The 18,158-nt window shown below is 39.0% G+C and overlaps 1 protein-coding gene across 16 annotated transcripts in view, besides 1 other annotated feature; it reads left to right on the top strand.

Moving 5' to 3' along the window:
• Positions 1 to 18,158, top strand: part of FOXJ3 (forkhead box J3) — a 159,333-nt gene that overhangs the window by 115,780 nt on the left and 25,395 nt on the right. For 11 of the 16 annotated variants that reach the window (NM_001198850.2, XM_024454163.2, NM_014947.5 and 8 more), the window contains one exon: positions 14,238 to 14,339. The exons of the other annotated variants lie outside the window; for them this stretch is intronic. In NM_001198850.2, the coding sequence (NP_001185779.1) occupies positions 14,238 to 14,339 (102 nt within the window). The remainder of the gene's footprint in view (positions 1 to 14,237; positions 14,340 to 18,158) is intronic. 16 annotated transcript variants of the gene reach the window in all.
• Positions 5,249 to 5,543: an enhancer, noted in NCBI's record as "tiled region #10195; HepG2 Activating DNase matched - State 5:Enh". NCBI's record gives its function as "activates a minimal TATA promoter and a strong SV40 promoter by Sharpr-MPRA in HepG2 cells {active_cell/tissue: HepG2}" and the evidence as "EXISTENCE:reporter gene assay evidence [ECO:0000049][PMID:27701403]".

Here is an 18,158-nt window from a genome sequence, read left to right as displayed (position 1 = left end):
GTGTTTCTGTTGTATGCTTAGCCCAGGTAAGGTACTTTGAAAGAGTTATAATTAGGAAATAATGCACTTGTTAGAAATGTAAACTGTCTGAACATTTAAAGCTGCTAGGAGTGAGGATAGGGGTGTTGCCAGTGGTAGAAAATGGAAATTCTAAAAAGAAAACTCCAAAACTTTATTTGTTGGAGACAAAGTCTCAGCCTGTTGCCCAGGCTGCAATGCAGTGTTGTGACCATGGCTCACTGCAGTCTCGACCTCCTGGGCTCAAGCTATCCTCAACTGTTTAGCTTCCTGATTAGCTGGGACTATAGGTACATGCCCAGCTAGTTTTTCTTATTTTTGTAGAGACAGGTCTTTCTTTGTGTCAAACACCTGGCTGAGACCTCCTGCCTTGGCCTCTCAAAGTGCTAGGATTATAGGCATAAGCCCCCATGCTGGGCACCCAAAACTTTAGATTGCTTTGTGTTTTAGCATCATTTAAAGACCTAAAGTTTCTGTTTAGGTTACTATTTTTCCATGTTTTTACATAGTAAGCGCAAGGCCAAGTTATGTTATAAAGTCATGAGGGTATCATTTTTATTTGGTACAAGATTTATGGGAAATGGTACAGTAGACCTCCCTGAGGGGTATACGTTCCAAGACCCCCAGTGGCTGCCTGAAACCAGATAGTACTGAACCCTATATATACCATGTTTTTTTCCTAAACAGGCATACCTATGATAAAGTTTAATTTATAAATTAGGCACAGTAAGAGGTTAACAACAATAATAATAAAGCGATACCACGACAGTCAATCTGATAACCAAGAGGGCTGCTGGTAGTGTATACAAAGTGGATATGATGGACAAGGGATGATTCATGTCCCAGGTGGGACAGAGTGGGGTGACACAAGATTTTATCACCCTGCTCAGAATAACATGCAATTTAAAACATGAATTGGTTATTTTGGGAATTTTTTTCTTTAAAATTTTTAGACCATAGTTGATCACAGGAAACTGAAACTGCAGAAAGTGAAACTGTGGAAAAGAGAGGACTCCTGAACTAACCTGGAAGTTTGGAGACCTAGTTTTAAAGTTGTATGTTATAACTTAGAATATGTATTAATTTTTCTGGCTGTAGTTTCTTTATATAAATGTAAGTGGATTGTCAGCTGTACAGGCCTGGGAATCTGCTGTCCTGCAAGTGCAAGGGCTCTGAGGTAGAGATATATTTGGCATGGTGAGAAACAACAAGGAGGCTACTGTGGCTGGACAGTGTTTGAGGAGGGAGGAGTAGTGATAGGACTTCACATTTGAGAAGTAAGGGGTGGGAGCAGGAGGCAAATTGTGCAGGGCTTTGTAAGCCATTTTAAAGACAATCTTTATTCTGAGGGAGGTGGAAAGCCATTGGAGGGATATGAATAGAGTAGTGACATGATGTGACTTAAATTTTAACACGGTCACTCTAGCTGTTGTGTAGAATATAAGTGGTAAGGGAACAAGGGCAAAAGATCAGTTAGGAGGAAATTGCTGTGGATAGTTTTGCCTAAAATCTTATAATGCATTGTTATAAAAGTTACATAAGGGAGAAGAGGCCAGATCTGTCAACTCACTATCCTAAACATATTGGCCCTTGCGGAAAAATCAACACATTATCTACAATTATCCAGCTTTTTTTGGAACAGAGATGGAAGAAATACACATTACTTTTTCCTGAAGTTGTTTACAATCACCTGAAGGTGATTACAAGTATAATCAGTAAAAGAACTGGAGGATAGATGGATAAATAGAAAACAGAACATTTTTCTAGGTGGGATACTCTCCATCTGGACATGTATCTGAAATTGTTGTCATGCTGTTATTTGTAATTCAGTTTCTCAATTATAATACCAGAGTGGTTTTGTTGATTAAGTGATTCCCTCACTGTGTGCCTTCCCTCTCTGAGGTGGAGTCTGAGAAAGAGTGAGGATTTAGTTAAAGGAAAGGGTGTAAGTGAGCACAGGAAGAATTGCAATCTACATGCCTACTCTTAGCTGTAGAACTGAATAAATATTTATTTCAATTGGGAAAACTACTGAGTGTACATTATGTGGGAGCACTGCATGTTGTCTCCAATATATATGTCTAAGTAGAATTTCCTGGGGGTTAAAAATGGTGGAAATCCTGTCTGGTTAGAGATGGAGATCATGAAAAGTTTCATAAGAGATCATTGTGATGAATGGGTAGGTTTTTGTTTTTTTACAACACTATTGAGGGATAGTTGTACAGTTAACTGCGTATTTAAAGTTTATAAGTTGAGGAGTTTTGGGATCTATACAACTGTGCAATTATCAACAGTGGCACATTAACATTTTCATCATCCCCAGAAATTCACTCAACTCTTGTCCCCAGGTAAGCAGTGATCTGGAGAAAATTGACATCCTAGCAATATTGAATATTCTAATCCATAAAAATGTTGTATTTCTCCATTCATTAGGTCTAATTTAATTTCTCTGAGGAGTGTTTTTTGGTTCTCAGCATAGAGACATGGATGCTTCCAGTTAGATTTAATCCGGAGTATTTTGTTTTTCAATGGTATTGTAAGGATTTTTTTTTTTTGAGGCGGAGTCTTGCCCTGTCGCCAGGCTGGAATGCAGTGGCACGATCTCGGCTCACTGCAACCTCTGCCTCCCGGGTGCAAGCCATTCTTCTGCCTCAGCCTCCCGAGTAGCTGGGACTACAGGCGCATGCCACCACGCCCAGCGAAGTTTTGTGTTTTTAGTAGAGATGGGGTTTCGCCATGTTGGCCAGGATGGTCTTGATCTCTTGATCTTGTGATCCGCCACCCTCGGCCTCCCAAAGTGCTGGGATTACAGGAGTGAGCCACTGCACCCAGCCCATTGCAGAGTATTTTTAAATCCATTTTCCAATTGCTTGTAGCTAGTATATAAAAATATAATTAATTTTTGTATATTAACTTTGTATTTTATTATCTTGTTCTAATAGTTATTTGAAGATGCCTCTTGCGATTTGTCATAAGTAATTGTGTCATCTGCAAATAGAGACAGTTTTCCTGTTCCTCTCCTCCCCTCCACCCCAGATCTATATATTTGAAGGTGTGGCTCTTGCAGACAGCATTTATCAGTCTTGCTTTTTTAGCCTCTCTGAAAGTCTTTGCCTTTTCATGGAGCATTTACTTAACATTTAATGAAATCATTAATATGACTGATTTGGCTTTATGTTTTGTTTTCTGTTTGACCTCTGTTTTTAGTTTCATCTCTTTTCCCTTTTCCTGCCTTCTTTTAGATTATTTTGGATATATTTTAGTATCTCATTTTTATTTATCTGTTGGCTTTTTAGCTATTCCTATTTATTTATTTATATCTAGGAATTTCAGTGTACATCCTTAACCTTTTGCAGTCTACTCAGTTATTAGTGTATCACTTCATGTAAATGTAAAAATCTTCCAACCATGTAGATCCTCTTTGTTCTTTCCCTCGCTATACCCCATAGTTGTAATATGTGTTACATCTGTAGATGTTCATAAGACAGTGTTATAACTTTTGCCTTAAATAATTTATGTGACTTTTTAAACTTAAGAGGAAAACAGTAGTCTTTTTTTTTTTTTTGAGACGGAGTCTCGCTCTGTCGCCCAGGCTGGAGTGCAGTGGCGCGATCTCGGCTCACTGCAAGCTCCGCCTCCCGGGTTCACGCCATTCTCCTGCCTCAGCCTCCCGAGTAGCTGGGACTACAGGCGCCCGCTACCACGCCCGGCTAATTTTTTGTATTTTTAGTAGAGACGGGGTTTCACCGTGTTAGCCAGGATGGTCTCGATCTCCTGACCTCGTGATCCGCCCGCCTCGGCCTCCCAAAGTGCTGGGATTACAGGCGTGAGCCACCGCGCCCGGCAACAGTAGTCTTTTATATTTAGCCAGTGTCTACCATTTCTGGTGCTTTCATTTGTTTCAGAAGGTCCAGGTTTTTTCTTTGCTATAATTTCCCCCTGCCTAAAGAACTTTCTTATAGTGCAGGTCTCCTAGCAACAAATTCACTTAGTTTTTCTTTCCCTGAAAATGTATTTATTTTGCCTTCATTTTTAAAAAATTTTCTGTTTCACATATATATGTATATGATATGTTATATAAATTTTTTCCCCCTTAGAGATGGGTGTCTCACTATGTTGACCAGGCTGGTCTCAAACTCTTGGCCTCAAGTGATCCTCCCATCTCAACCTCCCAAAGTGCTAGGTATGTGAGCCACCACGCCCAGCCTGCCTTCATTTTTGAAGAGTATTTTTTATTAGATATACAGTCTGGATTGATAATTCTGTTTTATTTTAGCACTTTAAAGATGTTCACTGTCTTATGACCTCCATCATTTCTGATGAGAAATCCACAGTCATTTCCTAGTCGATGTTTACCTGCATGTGATATGTAGTTTTTCTCTAGCTTTTTTCTATCTTTATTTTCAAGAATTTGATTATGATGTATCTAAGTGTGGTTTTTCCTTCCATTTATTTTTATTGGGGTTTACTGAGCTAATTGAATTTGTTAAATTTGTCTTTTACTAAATTTTCAAAGATTTTAGTCATTATTTCTTCTATTTTTTTCTGCCCTTTTCTCTCTTTATTCTTCCAGAAATCACAGATATACATTAGACCTTTTGAGATTGTCCCACAGCTTTCTGAGGCTCTGTTCTTTTTTTCATAAGCTTTTGATTCTTCAGATTGGTTACTGATCCGCCTTTAAGTTTACTGATTCTTTACTTATTCATTTCCATTTCAATATTAAGGCCATCCATTGATATATTTTTCTTTTGGATATTTTTCCATTCTAAAATTTTGATTTTTTTATTTTTCTCTTGAGATTTCCTTTATTATATTTCCATTCAAGTTTTTTTTAACTTTATTTCATTGAGCATAAATAATTATAATAGCTGTTTTAAAATCCTTGTCTCATAATTCCAGCAACTCAGTCTTTTTTGGAGTGGGCATCTGTAGATTTCCCTTTCTGCCAAGAATGGGCTGTATTTTCTGTTACTTGTGTGCCAGGTAATTTTGGATTGTGTCCTAGACATTGTGAATATTATGTTTTTATAGACTCTGGGTTCTATAATAATCTATAGAATATTGATATCTGTACTTTAGCTGGCTTAACTGTGTTACACTGTAAGCTTTCTCTTTCACCTTTTGTGAGTAGTGGTTCCAATTTCAATTTGATCCTTAAGCCTCTACTTTGATGCAGATCTGTATATGCATGGTTCAGGCCTCAGCCTGGCACATTTGTGCTGTGTTATACACAGGATTATGTATTATGTCTTTCAACTTTCTCTCTTACAGGATTGCCTTTTCTCTCTGGTGGCTGGCTGTGTTTACCTTGGGTCTTTGCCCTAGTTCCTCCTGACGGAAGAACAGCTTTAGCTGTCTGCACTCCACATCTATTGCCTAATCTTGGGGCAAAGCTGCAGCAAAACAGGAAATTCACCCACATTCTTCCCAAGTTTTGACTTACCTTCCCAACCTGCCTATTGTATTTACCCTTTGGAATGCTCAGAAAGCTATTTTTTTTCTCACCATAATACTTTATAGTTATCAGCAGAAGGTTGGTCTATAGGGGTATCACACTGCCAAACAGGAAGTGGAACTCAAATGGGTATGATTAGGGAACTCCAGAAAGGACCTTTCTTGAGCTAACTGGTGCCACCAGATTAGATTCATCGATACTTTCTTTGTCCAGAATTTCGGTTGATGGCTGCTGTAATAAATTATCCAAATACATTTTGGGATGCCTGGATCTATTGGCTTTACCGATCAGACTACTTTTTGCCTATTAAGAATATAGAATCAGTGCACCTATAAATAAAAATATGTACCATGCTATTGAGTGAATGTCAGAGTATGTGAAGAGAGTGCCTTTACTCTCTCTATTGAAACTGAAGTATTCATGAAAAAATAATTAAAAGCTTTTTTTTTGTTTGTTTAATTTACTGTTTTGTAATAGTTGAAGCTATGTGGGAGTACAGTGCCTCATACCAAAGCTGTCACCTTTCTTATTAGTCACCATTGAGTATTCCTTTGTTTTTACTTTGTTTTATTTTATTTTTAATTGACAATAATTGTATATATTTATGGGGTACAGTGTGATGTTTCAGCACATGTATACATTGTAGAATGTTCAAATTAGGCTAATTAGTTTATCACTTCAGATATCATTTGTGGTAAGAACATTTAAAATCCTCTCAGCTATTTTGAAATATACAATATATTATTAACTGTAGTCATTGGGATGTGCAATAGAACACCAGAACTTTGTACCCATTGACCAGTGTCTCCTCTTTGCCTGTTCCCACTTCTGGTAACCACCATTCTATTCTCTGCTTTTATGAGTTTGGGGTTTTTTTTAGAATCCACATGTAAGTGAAATTATACAGTATTTTCTATCTGTGGCTGGCTTATTTCACTTAGCATAATACCCCCTAGACAGAATTTCCTGTTCTTTAAAGACTGAATAATATTCCATTGTGTATGTGTACCATGTCTCTTTTCTTAGCTGTAGTACTAGTGATTTTATGAATCTGGGAGCATTGGAGTTAGGTGCATGTATATTTAGGTTTGTTATATCTTCTTGTTGAATTGGTCCTTTTATCATTATATAATCGTGTCTTTTTTTTTTTTTTAACTGTTGTTGTTTTACAGTCTTTTTTATATGATATATGAATAGCTACTCCTGCTTGCTTTTGGCTTCCATTTGCCAGAAATATCTTTTTTCACTCCTTTATCTTGAGTCTTTAAGAATCCTTACATGTTAGGTATGTCTTCTGAAGACAGCAGATACTTGGTTTGTGATTTTTTTTAAATCCATTCAGCCAGTGTATATCTTTCAAGTGGAACATTTAGACCATGTACATTCAACATTAATATTGAAATGTGAGACTGTTCCAGTCATGCTGTTGATTGTTACATAGTGACTTTGTTTTCTTCCTTGTGTTATTGTTTCACAAGCCCTGTGAAATTTATACTTTCAGGAGTTTCTATTCTTTTGCGCATCAACCTTTTGTTTCAAGAACTCCTTTTAGCATTTCTTGTAGGCAGGCCTATTATTGACAAGCTTCCTTAGCATTTCCTTTTCTGAGAGACTTTATTTCTCCTTCACTTATGAAACTTAGTTTTTTTTTTGTTTTTTTTTTTTTTGCTAGATACAAAATTCTTGGCTGACAGTTATTATGTTAAGGAGTAAAGGTAGGACCGCAAGCCCTCTGGCTTGTAAGGTTTCTGCTGAGAAGTCTGCTGTCAGTCTGATAGGTTTTCTTATATAGGTTACCTGATGCTTTTGTCTAACTGCTCTTAGACTTCTTTCTTTCACTTTGACTTTAGATAATCTGATGACTCCATGCCTTTGGTGATGTCCTTTTTGCAGTGAATCTCCCAGAAGTTCTTTGAGCTTCTTGTATTTCTAGCAAGACCAGGGAAATTTTCCTTAATTATTTCCTCAAATAGGTTTTCCAAATTTTAACTTTTTCTTCTCCCTTAGGAACACCTATGATTCTTAGGTTTGGCTCTTTTACATAATCCCATATATTTTGGAGACTGTTCATTTCTTTTCATTTTTTTTCTTTATTTTTATCTGATGAGGTTAACCTGAAAGCCTTGTCTTCGACCTCTGAAATTATTTTTTTCTACCTGGTCTAGTCTGTTGTTAAAACTTTCTACCACATTTTGTAGTTCTCTAAATAGGTCTTTTATTTCCAAAGTTCTGATTGGCTTTGCTTTAAAATACTTGTCTCTTTAGAAAATTTTTCCTTCATATCCTGAATTGTTTTTTTAAATTTTTTCTGTTGCATTTTCACCTTGTATTTCTTTGAGTAAACTCACAATTAACTTTTTGAATTATGTTATTATTGAAATGGAGTCTTGCTATGTCACCCAGGCTGGAGTGCAGTGGCACCATCTTGGCTCAACCTCCACCTGTTGGGTTCAAGCCATTCTCCTGGCTCAGCCTCCTGAGTAGCTGGGACTGCAGGCACGTGCCACCATGCCCAGCCAAATTTTGTATTTTTAGTAGAGATGGGGTTTCACCATGTTGGCCAGGCTGGTCTCGAACTCCTGACCTCAAATGATCCACCCACCTTTGCCTCCCAAAGTGCTGGGATTACAGGCGTGAGCCACTGTGCCCAGACACTTCTAATTGTTTTTTAATTTATTTTTGATTCAACTGTGTCTTTTCATTTCTTAGCTTCCCCTGGCCCTCCTCACCCCCAGTACTCCAGGATGTAACTTTAATGTTTATAATTTATTGTCACCCAGCTTTGGTTCTGGGTGCTTTCCCTGGTGAAAACTCTATATGAGTTTCTTGGTTACAGAGAATCTTTGTGTAGTGGCTTTCTCAGATGCTGGTTGTAGTAGCATTGTGCTGGATGTGTGAGCAGGCTCACTATCTCCAGTGGAGCTGGAATGGCAGAGGTCTCTTGAAGCTTATCTTGTTCCCCAGTGGCGTGCATTTAAAAATTTTCTCCTCCAGTACTTTATTCACTGAGTTGAATAGTTTAGGCTTCAGGCTGATAGGAGGTATCCACAGGTATGGCCAAAGGAGGTGGTAAAGGCAATACCCCAGTGGTGGGCAAAGTTCCCAGCCTTGGCAGAGGTTGCTAGGGAAGCTCTCGGTGAAATGCACTGAGGTCTTCTCAAGGGGAAGGAAGGAAACCACCAAAGCTGTCTTTCAGGCCAGCAGGAAAACAGTCACCTCCCAGTCACACTCCTGACCAGATGTTCCAGCTATTCAGATGAGACAGGCATCTCATTTCATCTGCAGGAATGTGATGTTCCATGTAAAGAGGGATTATGACTCTACCTCTCATGGAAGCCTGAATCTGGAGGGCACACCTCCTTTAAGGATGCAGTTACCCCAAAGTGTTCCACGAAGAGTATCTACAGATGCACCCATGCCAAGCTCCATGGGAGAGGCCCCAGCTGTGTCTACAATGATGGGCAAGAGGAGAAGAAATCCCAATCTTCTTCAAGACCCTTCACGAGCACCAGGGCCGCCTGACTTTGGGGTAGAGCCAAACAAACTTTCCCCACTGAGCCTAGCACTGCACATGTTTCTCTGATAAAAGAAACTCCCCCACAAGTGGAAAGTTAAAGGACTTGAGGCCTGCAGTCTGGCTTCTTTTGTCTCATGAGGTGCTCCCTTAATGATGTACACTCCCCGCCCCACCCCCTCCCTTGGGAGTAGCAGTCCCTGAGGGCCAGACTATTGTGGAGCTTGCTGCTCTTCTGGGTGTAGCTGCTCAGTGGGGTTGCCACACTCCAGGCTGGTGCTGGGGAATGTATGCAAGGGATTCAGTGATGTGACCTGTCCTCTAGTCTCCCAGCAGCGGGTACCAGCACCAGCTCTGATGGGGGTGGGAAGGGAGTTATGTAGACTATGAGATTTCCTTGGTTATCTCAAGGAAATCTCCTTGAGATTTGTGTTGGCTTTCTCAAATGCCAGCTTGTGTTGGCTTTCTCAAATGCCAACTGTAGTAGTAATGTACTGGGCACGTGGACAGACTCAAGACCTTCTGGTTAGCCAGGGTGATACAGGCAATGACGATAGCTGAGGTCATGCAGAAAATTTCTCCTTCCTCAGAGTGGTGTTATTGTCCCTGCAGATGTTGTAATGGGCTGTGCTGGTTGGCTTCAAGAGGTGATGCTTGCAAAAGAACACCAACTATGGTGGTAGTGGTGGGATTTGTGCTTGCCTTATGTTACCCAAGGTACTCTGGTGTCTCAGGCCATAGGCAGGGCCATGGAGCTTTCCAAAGTCCCAGTCTGTTGTGTTATGCTACCAGGGCGAGTGAAGGGACAAAGCCAGATGGGGGCCGGGTCAAGCAAGTCTGCACTCTGGCTTTTCACATGTGGGTGCAAGCAGTGGCCCCAGTGGGGGTCAGAGGGCAGTTCCGTGGCTGTTGGGATAGTGTTACAGGGTGGAGCACAGCTGCCTCTGATGCATAAAATAATCTGCATGGGGCATCGGGTGTAGCAAATGGCATTAAGCCCCACTCAGCTCCCACGGACTTGGCAACACAGGTCTCACACCCAGTGTTTTGCTAGCAGCAGCTAGTTGGGTTGTAGGCAGCCTGCACTTAGAACTCAAAACTGCCCCAGGCTATAAGCCTTCCCAGCCAAGACAGAAACCACAGTTTTCAGGCCATATCCCTCCAGGTCTGCCTGCAAAGCAGGGACACCCAGCTCCTGCACCTGTGGCTGTAGCACACTTCTCACTTGCCCCTTGGTTCTGGCCAAGGGGTTCCATCTGCACTCAAGATTATATCACAAGTCTCATTTGGGAGTGTCTCTCAACCTGTGACCTCTGCCTGAATTAGCTGGCAGTCTTCCCTGAGATAGGATTAGGAATGGCTTCCCTCCGGGCCTGCTGGAGTCTGGGAATGGATGTAAAGCATGTCGTGATGCTGCTTCTCCTCATATTCTCCCCACTGCTCATTAAGTCAGCTCCAGCACTGGGTAGCATTAAGGCATTCCCCCGTGGCCTGGATTGGGTTAAGGAATTTTATACCTGGGTAGGGTTAAGGCATTTCCCACTGGCCTGACTCCCTAGTGGGAGTATGTGTCATGGAGGAAGTCTCTCTCCCACTCAAGCTCTAGAGACACAGTTTTCTACCTGTTTCATGGTGTAGGCTGCTGCCCGCCACTTATTTCAAAAGGTCTGCATTTTCTTTCAGTTTTTCTGTTAAGTTCCTGTGTTGCTTCTAGGAAAAAAAGTTCACAGCATGAATCTCTACACATGATTTTATTTTTCCAAGTGGGAGGGGCATGTTAATCCCTTTAATCTACCATCTTGGAGAAAGAAAAAACGAATTGTTTTCTTAATAGCTTTTTTAGATAGTTTGTTGTTAGTGTATAGAAATGCTACTGATTTTTATAGGTTAATCTTGTATCCCGCAACGTTACTGAATTTGTTTACAACTTTACTGAATACTGTTCTGTTTTTGTTGAAGTCTTTAGGATTTGGTCTATATAAGAGCATGTCAGCAGAGACAATTTCACTTCATTGCTTCCTATTTGGACGCCTTTTGTAGATAGTACCTGACTTAGAGAATGTTTTGGCTTACAATTTTTTGGCTTTCTGATGGTACAAAAGCAACACATATTCAGTAGCAACAGTACTTCAAGTACCTATACAACCATTCTGTTTTTCACCTTCAATATAGTATTCAATAAATTACATGAGATATTTAACACTTTATTATAAAATAGATGCTTTTGCTCATGTGTGGCTTAATGTGTAAGTGTTCTGAACGTGTTTAAGGTAGGTTAGGCTGAGCTGTTATGTTCAGTAGGTTAAGTACATTAAGTGCATTTTTGACTTATGGTAGTTTCAGTTTATGATGGGTTTATTGGGACGTAACCCCATCATAAGTCGAAGAGCATCTCTAGTTCCTTCTCTTGCCTAATTGCTTTGGCTAGGCCATCCAGTACTATGTTGAATAGAAATGGTGACAGTGGGTATCATTGTCTTGTTCCTGGTCTTAAGAGGAAAAGCCTTTAACTTTTCACCATTGAGTATGGTGTTAGCTATGGACTTATTATATGTGACCTTTATTGTGTTGAGGAATGTTCCTTCTATACCTTTTTTGTTGAGCGTTTTTGTCATGAAAGGATATTGAATTTTGTCAAATGCTTTTTAAAGTATCTTTGGGATGATCCTTCATTCTTTTAGTCTTTGATTCTCTTAATATGGTGAATCACATTTATTAATGCATGTATATTGAATCAGCCTTACATCCCAGGGATAAATCCCACTTGATCATGGTGAATGATCCTTTTACTGAACTGTTGAATATGATTTGCTAGTATTTTGTTGAGGGATGAGTATTTCTTTGTATCAGCAGATCCTTGACATCAGTAGCAGATATATTCTAGTGGTCATCATAGTGGCCAGCACTTACTGTGTGTTTCAGTTACCATGCTAAGCGCTTTACATGAAATACTGTGTTGATGTTCTTAACAGATCTCTAAAGGAAGTAGCATAATCATCTTTTTATAGATGAGAAAACAAGCATAAAGTTCGAGTAATTTACATGAAATCAGATAACAAAAGTTTCCCTTTTCCTACCAGAAGGGAAGAATGAGAATTAGTGAACCAATAGTTCAGACTGAGATGACTGAGTTGAATTAAGGGAATATGAGATTTGTACCTTTCTAAAGTAATCTTCTGTGTTAACTTAATTATAGCTTGGTTGGCTGGCACCAAAACTGAGGCATAAATAAGAGTTATTTTTATAGCTCTTCTATTTCACCTTGCTCTCAATGTGTACCTGGGACCTAAGTGCTGGATTCTAGCTTGTAGGGGTAGCTCTGGTCTTTTTCAATCAAGATCCCTATTCTCTGCCCGAAGGTTGATTAGATTATCTGGAATGAGAAAAATGCTGAGGGATTAAAGGATAGATTAATTTCAAAAATGTGTCTTGGTGAAATTGCTCTCTCGCTCATCTGGTATGATCTTTTAGAAATGCATGTACAATTAGGATCATGTGTGGGACAAATAGTTTTTGCCAGAGAGGGAATATATATGTAGCTAGCATCATAATCATAAATTACTTCTGTTTGCCCCTCTTTAACATTTACCATTGAAGTTGAACTTTTGAAGGCTCAATAAAGCAATAAAAACCGTTTCTTAGAGAGAGGAGTTATCACAATGTATATATTCAGAATTCTAATAGCAGAAAACTTTCTGTATTGTTTTTAACACCCATGTTAACTCTAAACAGTACATATGAGGTATATTTAGGGGATCGTTCAGTTGCTCTAGCAAAGGAAGAAAAATAAAACTATAACTGATGTACACTCACAGAAAGACAAATATTGCGTATTCTCACTCATATGTGGTAGCTAAAAAAGTGGATTACATGAAGATAGAAAGTAGATTGGTGATTATCAGAGGCCAGGAAGGGTAGGGGGAAGGGATATGAAGACAGGTTGATTAATGGATGTAAATATACACTTAGAAGAAATAAGAACTGGCTGGGCATGATGACTCAACACCTGTAGTAGCACTTTTGGAGGCTGAGGCAGGTGGGTCACTTTAGGTCAGGAGTTCAAGACCAGCCTGGCCAACATGGTGAACCCTGTCTCTACTAAAAGTACAAAAATTAGCCAGGTGTGGTGACACACACCTGTAATCCCAGCTACTTGGGAGGCTGAGGCAAGAGAATCGCTTGAGCATGGGAGGTGAAGGTTGCAGTGAGCCGAGATTGCACCACTGCACTACAGCCTGGGCAACAGAGCGAGACTCCATCCCAAAAAACAAGAAGAAGAAGAAGAAGAAATAAGACCTGATGTCTGATAAATCAGTAGGGTGGCTGTAGTTAACATTAATTGATTGTATATTTTGAAATAGCTTAGAAGAGAATAATTTGAATATTCCTAGTATAAACAAAAGATAAAATTTGAGGATATCTCATTTTTCATTTGATTATATGAATGTATTAAATTATCACATGTATACTCAAAATATGTACATCTAATATGTATCAATAAAAATAAATAGCAAAAGTTTTAAAAATCTATAACTGGCTTAAACCAGAGAGATTTATTTCTCTGTCAGGTAGAAGCCCAAACTCATGGGTGGGTCAGAGATATAAACAGCTCTGTTTCACAGGGTCATTCAGATGTCGAGGTTCCTTCTAATCCTGTTTTTCCGGTATTTTCCCAGGGTATTACCCTCAGCTATTTATGGTTAAGCAAGATCACCACCACCATATCTGTCTTAAATCTGCAATAAGAGAGAAAGAATGAATGGTGGGCAAGCAGGTTTCTTTCAAAGACATGACCCAGAAGTGGCACACATCACTCCTGCTCACATCCTGTTGGTCACACCGTAGTCACATGGCCACAGGCAGCTTCTCAGGAATCTAGAAAGGTAGTCTGTGGCTGGGCAGACATGAGTAGATACTGTAAATATCTATTACTGAAAGGGATGAGGGGAGAATGGATATTAGGGGATCATTAGCAATTTTCACTACAGAAGTTTATTTGTAATTTTTGTCAGCCTATCCTGCAGTAAATTAAGAGTTGTTAGAGAGTAGCCATACCAAAGGACTTTGTAATATCAAGTCAGTAGCATACTAAAATTTAGTAGAAGAGATTTCACTAGTGATTTAAATTCATTTTCAGAAACAAAGCACAAAACTGGATGTTCAAGAATTTGATGAGATCCCTTCAAACTGTGTTAAAGTTGCTGGATATATGAGCTAATAATTATTTATTTTGTTCTTGTATTTTAGGCCTCAACTCCATATAGCATAGATTCAGATTCTTTGGGAATGGAGTGTATTATTTCGGGAAGTGCCTCTCCAACTCTGGCAATCAACACTGTGACTAACAAAGTAATTTCATTTTTTTAAACATTATTGAAATGTCATTGAGTAGTACATTTAATTTGCCTTTGTAATAATGATAGAATCCTATATGGTTCAGTTTAAAGATTATATAAATTTGTCTACCCTATGCATGGTAGCTTGAAGGCTAAATTCAGAATGTTTTGAGGTATGCACAAATTAGAACAAAATATCTCTCAGGAGAGATTGGAAGGTCCTTACCGAGAAGTTCTATACTTGTTTAAAAATTCTTGGCTCTCACAGTTCCCATTGATAGAATTTGTGAGCCAGCATTTTATTGAGTCAATTTGTTTCAGAATTGTTAATTACCTCTCCAGATATGTGGTTGAAAAAAAGATTGTCAAATTCTGGGGAGTTAACAGAATCTAGTAAAATAAATAATTGGACAGCCTCATAGAGTTCACTGGGATGGTGGTCTACCTATTTTCATGATATTCAAGTCTAGGAATATAGCCAGAAATAGTACATGGTTGTTTGCTACATTTTGATGGTTGAGTCACAACTTTGTGATGGGTCATTATATACCTAGTGGGATACAGGTATATATCTGTCTCTTCTTTATAAGACAGTTTCTTAATCTTACATCTCAAAACCCTAAAAAGACTCTGGGAGGTTCATGAATCCAGTTTTGTTCATCTGTTTTCTTCCCTACTAGACCATGAGTACTCCAGAGCCATATATCTCTCACACTTATGCTTAGATTCTCTTTCAGTCTTGTTTTCATTTTCTCCCTCTAGCTTTCACCCTCTTTTTTTCTCTCCCTCTCTCTCATTTTCATTCTTCCACTTCATGCACACACATAAATATGAACACATACACATACATCATTGCACTAATATGGTACTCCTAGGATCCTTTTACTTGTAGAAAGATAATGATTAAACAGATGACAGATTATAATCAGAGTGACATATTCAGATTTCTAGTTCAGAAAGGAAACTGGTAGCCTAGGCATAGAGGAATGATTCTTCCCACATGGCAGTCTCTGGAATAATTACATCACAGTCACTTAGAGAGAGGGTTTATGGGGCAGTTGGGGGGTGGGGGGTGGTGGTAGTGGTGGTAATCCCAGGATTCCATTGCAATTCTGCCAAATCAGTTACTGTGTCATGAATAGGGCCCAGAAATACGTCCTTTAAAAAATGATCTCTAATGGTGACCAGCTAGGTGAGAATTTCTGGTGAAGTGGTTGGGTTAGAATCAGAAATACCTAATACTGCTCTGTGCTGTAGTCTAAGTGGTGATGAAGACCTAAACATAGATGATAGTGTGGTTACTAGGAAACAATTAGGAAGTAGTAATGATGGGACTTTATGACCAAATAATGTGGATGTCAAAGGAGCTGAAGATTTTGGTTTTCTGCATCCAGATATGACAGAATACTGGTATTAGATTAACCTTTCTGCCTATCTGTGTAAAATACCAGACATACATAGCCACACACCCCTCCCCACCCACCTCCTTGATTGAAAAAAAAGAAGAGGGAGGTATTGGAAACTAAGACAACCAGGGCTTCAGGGGTCAGGAGCCCAGAGAATAGTTAAACACATTGAGATAAGCTTTGTATATTTTCCTTTGGTGCATTTCCCGATTCTCAGTGCATGGCATAGGGGCTACACAGAGAGCAGTAGCCTAGAGCAGTCATTCAACCAGGGAGACAAAATTGGAGTTTGGGGTTACCAAAGAGCCAGGGGTTGCAGAGCCGAGATCCTGAGGAATATCAGGGGTGAATCCAACTTTTTTTTTTTTTTTTTGAGACAGGATCTCACTGTGTCGCCCAGACTGGAGTGCAGTGCGGTGATCTTAGCTCACTGCAACCTCCACCTCCTGGGTTCAAGCAATTCTCCTGCCTCAGCCTCCCAAGTAGCTGGGATTACAGGTGCCCACCACTGCGCCTGGCTAATTTTTGTGTTTTTAGTAGAGATGGGGTTCCACCATGTTGGCCAGGCTGGTCTCAAACTCCTGACCTCAGGTGATCTGTCCGCCTTGGCCTCCCAAAGTGCTGGGATTACAGGTGTGAGCCACCACACCTGGCTGAGTTCAACTTTTTGTAAGTAGTATCCACTTAAGGCATTTGCTAACTCCTAATTGTGTGTGCTAGGGCTCAGACACAAAGTTTTTCACTAGCCAAAATTCAACACTCTCACAGAATAGGAGGGACAAATATTGTAGTTTATGGTCTTCAAAGGAGGAGAGAGCCATGGTAATACACCCTAGGCTTTCAACTTGATATCTGAGAAAAATTTTGTTCTGAGAGTAAGAGCAAACCAAAATAGATCAGCCTCAACAGTTACTAGAGTGGTATGCTAATATTCTATCTGCCGAAAGAAAATGGAATTCTCTTTGGAGGAAGATAACATCATCCAGAGCTTCTGTAATTTTCCATAAGTATAGGGTGCAGCATTCAGTCAAAATTTCCAGGCATGCTAGGAGAGAGAGTTCGAATAACTAAACATGCAGTTGGGGGAAGACAATGTAAACAAGTGATTGAATATTGATTGCAAAATAACTATAACTGATATGGTCAAGAAAATAGATGAGTTATAGAAAATTTACCAGAGAATTGGAATTTATATGGAAGAATCAAGAGGAAACTTGAATAAACCCAGTAGATGGATTTAATAGCAGATCAGACACATCAGCAGAGAAATTTAATGAACTGGAAGATAGGTCTGTAGAAAACGTGCAGATGGAAGCACAGAAAGAAAAAAGGGTGGAAAATTCAGAAAAACTTAAGAGGTAAATGGGACATGGGGAAAAGGTCACACAAGGTTGTTTTTAGTGTGCAGGAGGAGAGGAAAAAGGAATAAAGAAGATCGTGGTAATAGATTTAAGCATGCCTTTCTGTAACTCATAGAATATGCAGACCAAATCAAAACAACAAACAACCTCATTTAAAGAAATACAATATTTGGACTGGGTGTGGTGGCTCACCCCTTTAATACCAGCACTTTGGGAGGCTGAGGTGGGTGGATCACTTGAGGCCAGGTATTCAAGACCAGCCTGGCCAACATGGCAAAAACCCATCTCATACTAAAAATATGAAGATACTGTACTATATCATGTATAAGAACTTTATTACTGTACACTCCCATTTTTTTCTCCTTGTGATAGAAACCTACAATACGTATTTGTTATTTTTGCTTTAAACAATCAATTATCATTTCAAGAGATTTAAATCAGAAAAAAAATGGCTTTACATTTACCCACATAGTTAACCATTTCTGCTATTCTTTATTCCTTTGCATAGATCCGGATTGCCACCAGCAACTTATACGTTTATTAGTTTGCTTGAAACTGTCCCCAAAGCTCACTAATGTTCTTTACTTTTTTTTTTTACAGTAAACAACCCATAGTGAGGAAAAAGTCACAACTGACCCAGAAATGATAGAAATGATAGAATTAGCTTAGAAAAGGACATTAAAGCAGTTTTATCTATATTTTATGGAGAAGCTAAAAGACACATTAAACAATCTGTGTAGACACATGGAATATAAACCCAAAGCAAACTCCTAGAGATAAAAACTGCAGTGTCTGAATTGAAAAGTACACTAGATGGGATTAATAACAGACTAAACAGAAGGAAAGATTAGTAAATTTGGAAATACAGCAATAAAAAGCTTTCAAAAATGAAAAAACAGAAAGGTGCTATTAAAGTTAATGAAAGAGAAATACAATTTGCTGATATCTGGAATGAAAAAAGGAGCTATATGGATTCTACAGAATTAAAAAGATGAAGGATAGATATGAACATCTTATGTAAATAAAGTTGAAATTTTAGATGAAATAGACAAAATCATAAAAAAT

Source organism: Homo sapiens, chromosome 1 (assembly GCF_000001405.40).
Source record: "Homo sapiens chromosome 1, GRCh38.p14 Primary Assembly".
Classification (NCBI taxonomy): domain Eukaryota; kingdom Metazoa; phylum Chordata; class Mammalia; order Primates; family Hominidae; genus Homo; species Homo sapiens.
This window is presented reverse-complemented; position numbering and strand designations above follow the sequence as displayed.